The sequence below is a fragment of the Homo sapiens genome, chromosome 6 (genome assembly GCF_000001405.40).
Source record: "Homo sapiens chromosome 6, GRCh38.p14 Primary Assembly".
NCBI classification, from domain to species: domain Eukaryota; kingdom Metazoa; phylum Chordata; class Mammalia; order Primates; family Hominidae; genus Homo; species Homo sapiens.
The window spans coordinates 32,948,152-32,956,549 of NC_000006.12; the positions used below are offsets into that span (position 1 = coordinate 32,948,152).

At 47.6% G+C, this 8,398-nt stretch overlaps 1 protein-coding gene across 1 annotated transcript; it reads right to left on the reverse strand.

Moving 5' to 3' along the window:
* HLA-DMA (major histocompatibility complex, class II, DM alpha) lies at positions 467 to 4,946 on the reverse strand. The gene is made up of 5 exons (NM_006120.4): positions 4,798 to 4,946; positions 2,368 to 2,652; positions 1,460 to 1,738; positions 1,120 to 1,248; positions 467 to 717 (listed from the first exon to the last, which is right to left on the reverse strand). The coding sequence occupies exons 1-5, from the start codon at positions 4,883 to 4,885 to the stop codon at positions 713 to 715; spliced, it is 786 nt and encodes a 261-aa protein (NP_006111.2). The 5' UTR covers positions 4,886 to 4,946; the 3' UTR covers positions 467 to 712.

Genomic DNA, 8,398 nt, shown 5'->3' on the forward strand with positions numbered 1-8,398 from the left:
TCCCAGAACTGACATAACTGATTGGTATAGCACTTGGGAGCTTATTCTTCCCATCCCTGAGCTTCTGTTTCTCAGTTACGGTGAGGGTTGAAGGGAGTTATATGTTCCTCAGGGCAGCCTATACGAGACATAAACATTTTCACAAACAGTAAAATACACAACACACACACACACGCACAAAACACACAAGCAGCTTCCTTAACCATTTTGTAAGCAGATTATTAGAAAATAACTCTGCCTTCGTTTCTCACATATTTTGCACAAACCGATAGATGGAAAAACATCATGTACCGCCAAGACCAGGGAATAAGAGCTCAGCTGGCAAATTAGGGGTTTTCCCTATTTCCCTCCCTAACGAGGTCAAGCTGTGTTCAGGTTAAGGCATGCTGAATTTGAAACGACAACCCACTCAAGTTGAGATATCCAGAAACAAATACCATGAGTTAAGAAAGAAGCCACACTGATATAAAGAAATGAGATTTATTGCCTTGTGGGGGGAAGGGATGTGGTTGTGATAGGCAGGCCACTCTGGGATCCCTGGGATGCAAGCCCAGGGACAGCAGAGTCCCCAGGTGGGAAATCTACACACACACCCCAGGGATGTCCCAGAGACTTCTACCCTAAGAGGAGATCCTGGGCAGGATGTGAGAAATCTGAGCATCCTCTGTTTGGATGGCCGAAGCTGCTGGCATCAAACTCTGGTCTGGAAGAATCAGTCTGGGGGAGAGACAGGGATGGAGGAAAGGCATCAGGGGATCCATCCTCCTCCTCCTTCTCCTCCTCCTCCTCCCCCACAAAGGCCTTGCTCGCCCTGCCTGCACCACACCCTGCAGAAGTTGATCTCTCCTTGTTCCCAAATCATCTCCAAGCACCCTTCCTACAGCACCCCATGATTCCTTTTTTCACTCAAAGCAATTCTTGTGACCCATAACTGTGTGTGTGTAACTGGGTCCCCAACTGGGAAGATGTGCCCCCATGGTGCTGGATACAGGCCCCCACACCCAAGGGCCTGAGGATCGCTATATGTCCCCCCATGCCACAAAATAATCCTGACACATGCACGCATGCACCACTGTATCTGGCTCCCACAGGCTCACCCGCCCCCTCCAGATGACATACCACCTGAGCAAGGCTTCCGGAAGTAGATGATGAGAACAATGCCCACGATGATGCCCAGCACACCCAGGCCAAAGGCCACGCCACACAGCACATTCTCCAGCAGATCTGAGGGCAGTGCGTTCCGGGGTACTGGAGGAAATGAGTGGCTCAGCCTGGGGACCTAGTTAGGGAGCCTCCCACCCAGGGAAATGACGTGGGTGTCTGGGATGACATGGGAGACTGGGATGGGCTTAGGGTAGGAATGGACTAAACAAGGTACCAGTGGAGAAAGAAGCCTCCTCCCATGGATCTATCCCTTTTTGCCCCCAAAAGGACCAGAATTCCAGGGAGAAAGCCTCACCCCAATAGGCAATTGCTGTGTAGCGGTCAATTTCGTGAGTCACAATGCAGGAGAAAATGTCAGAAGGTTCTGGTGTGAAGTTTAAGTAAGAAAAGGCCTGGAAGCTGAGTCCATCGACAGCTGAGACAAAAGTAGGCCCAAATCCTTCCACAGGGACGGAATGATGCTGCCAGTTCACTGTCAGCATGGGTGGGAAGAGATTACTGACAAAACAGACCAAAGTGTTGGGCTTGCCAAACTCCAGGGGCTTCAGCGTGAACACTTCAGCGATAGGAAACCCTGGTGGGGGGATTGAAGTGTAGGGGGAAAAAGAGACTAGTTTAGATGGTATCTCTGTGTTTGGAGGGGCCATGGCATATGGAGGGGAGGGCAGAGAAGAACACAGTGGGTCAGGCTTTGGGAGACAGAGATGAGCGAGGAGCTGGGCTCTGAAGGGAGGTCTTCTTCCAGGCAAGGACTGCAGCTAGACATAGAAGCAGAGCCAGATCCAGGCTACTCTGGACCCCTCCACCATGACTTCCTTCAGCACTTCCTGTCTAGAGCTCACATTGATGTCTAACCATGCACTGTCTTCTCACTAAGACATAGTCACGTCATCAGATATTTCCACTCTTCCCATCCATCTTGCTGGGCATAGTAGCACAAGTGTTAATATTCAGTAGGTATCAGTTGGTACCTGTTGAATTCATCACATTCAATACATAGTTCTGAATGCCTACTACATGCTAGGTACTTCGGCCCACCAAAAGAACACAGGGTGCAGACCAAGGCTGGTGGAAAAATTAAGGTGATGAAGAGAACCAGAAAGTATTTGAGATGGGGAGCTGGTATCAAGGGGAATTATTCAGTGTACAGATCAATGAGGTTAATGCAGCCCTCCTCCCTTCACTCCCCAGAAAACTCCTGACCTCTGGACACCGGGATTTTCCCATCAAGTTTTGGCCCTATTTGCTGGATCATCCACTCGCAGAACTCTTTGTCAAATAAAATGGCAGGAGCATCTCCCTGTTCCTGAGCCCAGTCAGCAAATTCGGGCAGGCGAGGCACCCGAGTGTTCTGGGAAAAGTCGAAGAAGAAAAGCTGGTCCTCGTCGTAGGCCTCAGAGAGTCCCACACTGGGACTCCCATCCTGGCAGTACACTGTGTGCAGGAATGTGTGGTTTTGCAGGTCATCTGGCCACATTGGAGTAGGAGCTGCAAAGGACACAGGGTGAGGTTCAGGGAGGTGGGAGCCTTCTCCTCCAACTTAAAAAACAGCAAGGTGGGGCTAGGCGCAGTGGCTCATGCCTGTAATCCCAGCACTTTGGGAGGCCAAGGTGGGTGGATCATGAGGTCAGGAGTTTGAGACCAGCCTGGCCAGCATGGTGAAACTCCGTCTCTACTAAAAATACAAAAAAGTAGCTGGGCATGTTGGCATGCGCCTGTAGCTACTCGGGAGGCTGAGGGAGGAGAATTGCTTGAACCAGGGAGGCAGAGGTTGCCGGGAGCTAAGATTAAGCCACTGCACTCCAGCCTGGGTGACAGAGTGAGACTCTGTCTCAAAACAAAACAACAAAAACAAGCAAGGCCTGCTTAAGGAGCGTGGGCTGAGGTGAGACCCTTTCCTGTGTCTGTTATTTAGACTCCCCCTCCCAAAGGGGGTGAAGAACAAATTATGGCATCTCTCCAAGCTTCCCCTGCCTATAAAAAGGCCAGTTGGCAAAAGTAAAGAGTTCTACTTTCTAAAGTGACAGATTCAGGCCAGGCATGGTGGCTCATGCCTGTAATCCCAGCACTTTGGGAGGCTGAGGCAGGCAGATTGCTTGAGCCCAGGAGTTCAAGACCAACCTGGGCAACACAGCGAGACCCTGTCTCTACAAAAAATACAAAAACTTAGCCAGGTGTGGTGGCAAACACCTGTGGTCTCAGCTACTCTGGAGGCTGAGGCAGGAGGATTGCTTGTGCCTAGGAAGTTGGGGCTGCAGTGAGCCATGATTGTGCCACTGGACTCCAGCCCAGGTGACAGAATGAGCCCGTCTCAAAAAATATATATATAAAGGCCGGGCGCGGTGGCTCAAGCTTGTAATCCCAGCACTTTGGGAGGCCAAGGCGGGTGGATCACCTGAGGTCAGGAGTTTGAGACCAGCCTGGCAAACATGATGAAACCCCATCTCTACTAAAAATACAAAAATCAGCTGGGTGTGGTGGCATGCGCCTGTAATCCCAGCTACTTGGGAGGCTGAGGCAGGAGAGTCTCTTGAACCCCAGAGGCAGGGGTTGCAGGGAGCCGAGATCACGTCACTGCACTCTACCCTGGGTGACAGAGCGAGATGCCGTGTCAAAAAAAATAAATTAAATCAAATAAAAAATTTAAAAATGTATATATATAAAATAAAGTGACAGATTCAGAGTCACTGTTCATTGTGTGTTTGGGGGCTGCACAAAGACACCTAGCCAAAGAAGCAAGTGAAAGCCTGCATTCTGCTCACCATGCCATACATCCTGGCATAGGGCTGTATCCTCCCAAAGGGGATTCCTTTGTCTAATTCATACCAGGCCACTGTATTGACTAGAGAAGGCCATGGATGGGTTTCTCACTCTTAGAAGGGAAAGAGGAGGAATGGCTACAGCCTCCCCAAGCCATAGATGGGACTGCCTCCCACTATCCCCAGACACAAATGGTAAATTGGAAAACCTGTATCCAGACATTTCTTCAGCCACTTCATTGGCACCAAGCGTCTCTCAAAATGTCTTCTGTTCCTTAACCTACCAGGCCTCCCAAAGACAGCAATGGGAGAAGTGACCCCATAACTGCATAAAATAATCCCTCTTCTTTGAAGCTCTTGGCAGGAATCGCTCAGCCAGCAGGAAACCTTTAACCCAATACCCAGAAAAACAGACATTTGGAGGAAGAGGGATCTTCCAGATTATTCTTCCATTCTGCCCCATCCTCTACAGAGAAGGAAACTAAGACACTTTTCAAGAATCACAAGATAAGTTAATGATAGAAAGCAGAGTAGAATCTTGAGTGGAGGAGTGAAAATAACATTCACTTTGTTCAAATCCCAGCTCTACCACTTTCCAATGGTGTGAACTTGCACAAATAACTCTGAGTCTCATTTTCTTCATTTGTAAAATGGAGAGAACAATCTCCGCTTCAAGAGATTGTCTTAAATGGAACATGCAAAGCATCACTGATATCGTTTACCAACCACACATAGCAGCTGTCTTTCCCCACTCCCCTGTTGTTTCCACTGCCTCATAAGACTTCCCACCACTCACAAAGCACAGCGCTTTTCCTCACAAAGCTGAGTGGGCTCCCTAGGTTCAGGATGGAAGTAAATAGGAGTACCATCTTACCTTCAGGGACGGCCCAGGAGTGGGGTAGCAGCCACAGAAGTGGTAACATCTGTAGCAGCGCAGCTCCTTGGTTCTGTTCATGACCCATACCTTCTTGCCACACAGTAGGTAGGAGCTACCAACCCAGCCAACCCAGCTTCCCCAACTCCCTCCCCGAGAGGGTGGCCTTAGATCATGTTTTGCCAGATCATTTCCAATAGGTGCCCTTGTCATTTTGTCTAAACCAATCAGAGAAGCGTAGGGTTTAACATCATCAGTCACTGGGGAGACGCCTGGGGCCAGTAACCTCCTGAAGACTTGGCTGTTTGACCAGGGCAGAGTATGGCATGTAACTGGGCTGGGAAGCCCAGTGGAGGAATGTTGCTTCCTGGTGGAGTTCCCTCTTTGGTTTCAAGCTGTCAGCCTCAGTCTGTAAGCGACCAGCTGGCTCTTCAGAGCAGTGCCACCTCCTGGCAGAATGCTGCAATGGGGAACCGCATCTTCCCCAAGTAAACCCCCAGGGCTCTTCGGACCCTGCCTTCTCCTCCCTCCTGGCTCTTCCTCTTTCTCAAAAAAACTTATTCTCCTTCAGGCATTAGCTCTAATTCATTTGGCAGACATATATTGAAAATACAAGAAATTCTGGGTGTTGGGCCCAGGGCTAGAAATACAAAGATGAATAGGCATAGTCTGCCTTCAAAGAGCTTAGAGTCTAGTGCTGGGGGAGGGGGCCAAGGGATAATTACACAACAATGTAATGTATTCAAATAAGAATGTGCCAAGTGTTTTGGAAGTCGCAGTAATTTTATGAGGATGCGGAATAGGAGGAACATAATCAGGCAGGCTCCTAAGACTTGAAGGAAAAACAATTTGGCCAGCAGAACATGAAGGAAGAGAAAAACACGCCAGGGCAAAGGGTAGGCAGAAGTACAAAGATCACAGGCATCCAGAGGTCCTCTTTGGAGACCCTGTGTACTAGTTGATATGAATGTTGTGAAGGTCGCTTGGGTGTTCCTGTATAATAGGAGGTAATGGGGGGTAGAAGGATGTTGTGATAAGCTACAAATTCTGGCAAGGGCCAGATCACGTGGGCCCTGCTACGCCACAAGGAGGAGCTTGCTTTTACTTAGCAGATGATAGAGATATTAAAACTGGGGAATGACAATCATTTTAGCATTTTGGAAAAAATGTTCTGATTGATATTTCAAACAATGAACTGGAGCTTTTAAAGAATTGAGGCAAAACTGCTGGGCAAGAGTCTATAGCATACCAAGATGAACAGTTGCACATATACACACCACTCCTGTAGCAATACAGCAATAATTTAAATGACAGATAATAAGAGCCTGAATTAAGTCATAATAAGAGGAGGCGGAGGAGATAGAATATCAAGATAATTAGGAAGTAGAATCTAAAGGGTTTGGCTACTGATTAGCTGTGGGAGTGGGAAGGTGGAGGAGTCAAAGATATCTCAGATTTCCAGCATGGGTGGCTGGGTGGGTGGTCAGGGATGGACTGAATTGAAGCAGAAAAGAATGCCATGGGAGCAGGTTTACAGAGAGAAAGAGCTTGATTTTGTACATGTTGAATTTGAAATGCCAGTGGAACAGCCAGCTGAAACTGCATGGGAGCGCAGTGAGGCGTGTGGGTATGGACCCCAGGTATGGTCTGAAGACCCTGATTTGAGAGTCATCAGCACAAATGTCGAAGCAGAGGCCATGAATAAGATCACCCAAGTAAACTGTGCAGAAGGAGTGGGAAGTGAAACAAGGACAAAAGCATGCATGGGCTCAAACCCCAAACCTCATACCAGTTATCCAGGATCCAGTCAGGAGCATTTAACTACTTTATGTGCTTCAGACTGAAAGAATTTAATATAGAGAATTGGTTACAAAGGTGTTAAAAGGGCAAGAAGTACAAAAAAAAAAAAAAAAGGAGAGTCCTAGAAATGTACATTTTAAAAAAAGATTGCTATCTGGAAATCAGAAGCTGCCATCATCCCTGAGCTGGAATCTGTAAATCTACTCATTGCCTTGTGAGAGACACTGTCATAGTCAGTTCCAATCTACTAGAAAGGTGCCACCTCCTTCAAGGCTAGAATCCTTGAGAAGGTACTTCTGCTCAGGAGGCTGGAGTCCTGAGTCTCCCATTCTTCCTGCTGCTACAGCTACAGCCAATAGCTACCAGCTATTGCCAGCCACCGACACTGTTTAGAGGCTGAAGCAGGATGCTTCTCAGTTTCTCTTGCCTTCTGATCTCCCATCAGTGCCTCCTACTGGCAGAATCAAAAAGGAAGCCAGATGTCCAGGAAGGCTGGGAAATACACACCTGGCTGACTCCTAAGCTAAGCAGTTCAAAACACAGTAGAGGAGGGTGTGTGTGTCACTGAGACAAAGATAATAACGAGTACACTGAAATACCCTGGTTTGTAAGAATCTGGTGGCACGAGGACCATCCAGAGCACTAAGAAAAGACCAAGGTAGAAGCAGATCAGAGAAATAAAAAAGAGGTGTGCCATGAAGGAGGGCAAGGTCAGCATTTTTAAATGCTACTCAAAAGTCAAGAAAGGATTGAAAAGTGTCCTTAGATTTGGTGATTATGAGATGGCTGACAAATTTATTGAGAGCAGTTTCAGTGTTGTAGTGGGAGTCAACTCCAGATTGTGGTGGGCTGAGAAGTAAGTGGGAGGTGAGGAAGAAACTGTCAGTGTACATGCTTCAAGTTTGTTAGACAAAAGAAAGAGAAAGACAGAAGGGGTGGGGGAAGAGGCAGTGAGAAAGCTCTAATGTGGCAATCAAGTAATCTGAGAAATTAATATATGTGAATATTGTCCAACAGTGTTTCTGAGGCTTTCAAAATTCATACCTTCCACCTTTTTTTTTTTTTTTTTTAAGACAAAGTTTCCCCTGTTGCCCAGACTGGAGTGCAGTGGCTACTTACAGGTGCAATCATAACTCACTCCAGTCTTGAACCCCCGAGTTCAAGCGATCCTCCCGCCTCAGTAGCTGGGGACTATAGGCACATGCCACTGTGCCTGGCTTCATATCCTCTTTTGATAAACAAGTAATAGCAGCAGTAATAGCCAAAAACAAAAACAACTCTATGACCTCCTAGATATTCTGGAACAGCAATGTGTATATATGTGTGTGTGTCTGTGTGGTGGAGGCAGGGTGCCAGGGAAGGACTAGGGTTTGGAAATCATGGTAACCCTCCAGAAAACAAAAGAACATTTCCCAGTATCCCAACATTTATGCACTAACCCATCAGCGGTTCTGGCAGTGGGGAGATTCAGGCCCCTGGACAGTAGAAAAGAAGTTTATGAGACTACCAGTGGGGAGACATATGGGACACAGCCACCTAGAGTCCTAAACCAGGGGTTAGCAAACTTTTTCTGTAAAGGGCCAGATGGCAAATATTTTAGACATTGTGGGCTATCAGATCTCTGTCATGAGTACTCAACTGTGGCACGAAAGCCTCCATGCACAATATGTAAATGAAGGAGAGTGGCTGTGTTCCTAGTTTCCTCCTAGCTTTTCCTCCCACTTCTTGAGCATCTCCTTCTCAGTCTCCTTCATAGACTCCTTCCTTTCAGCTACTCTTTAAATACTGGTGTTCCCTGGAG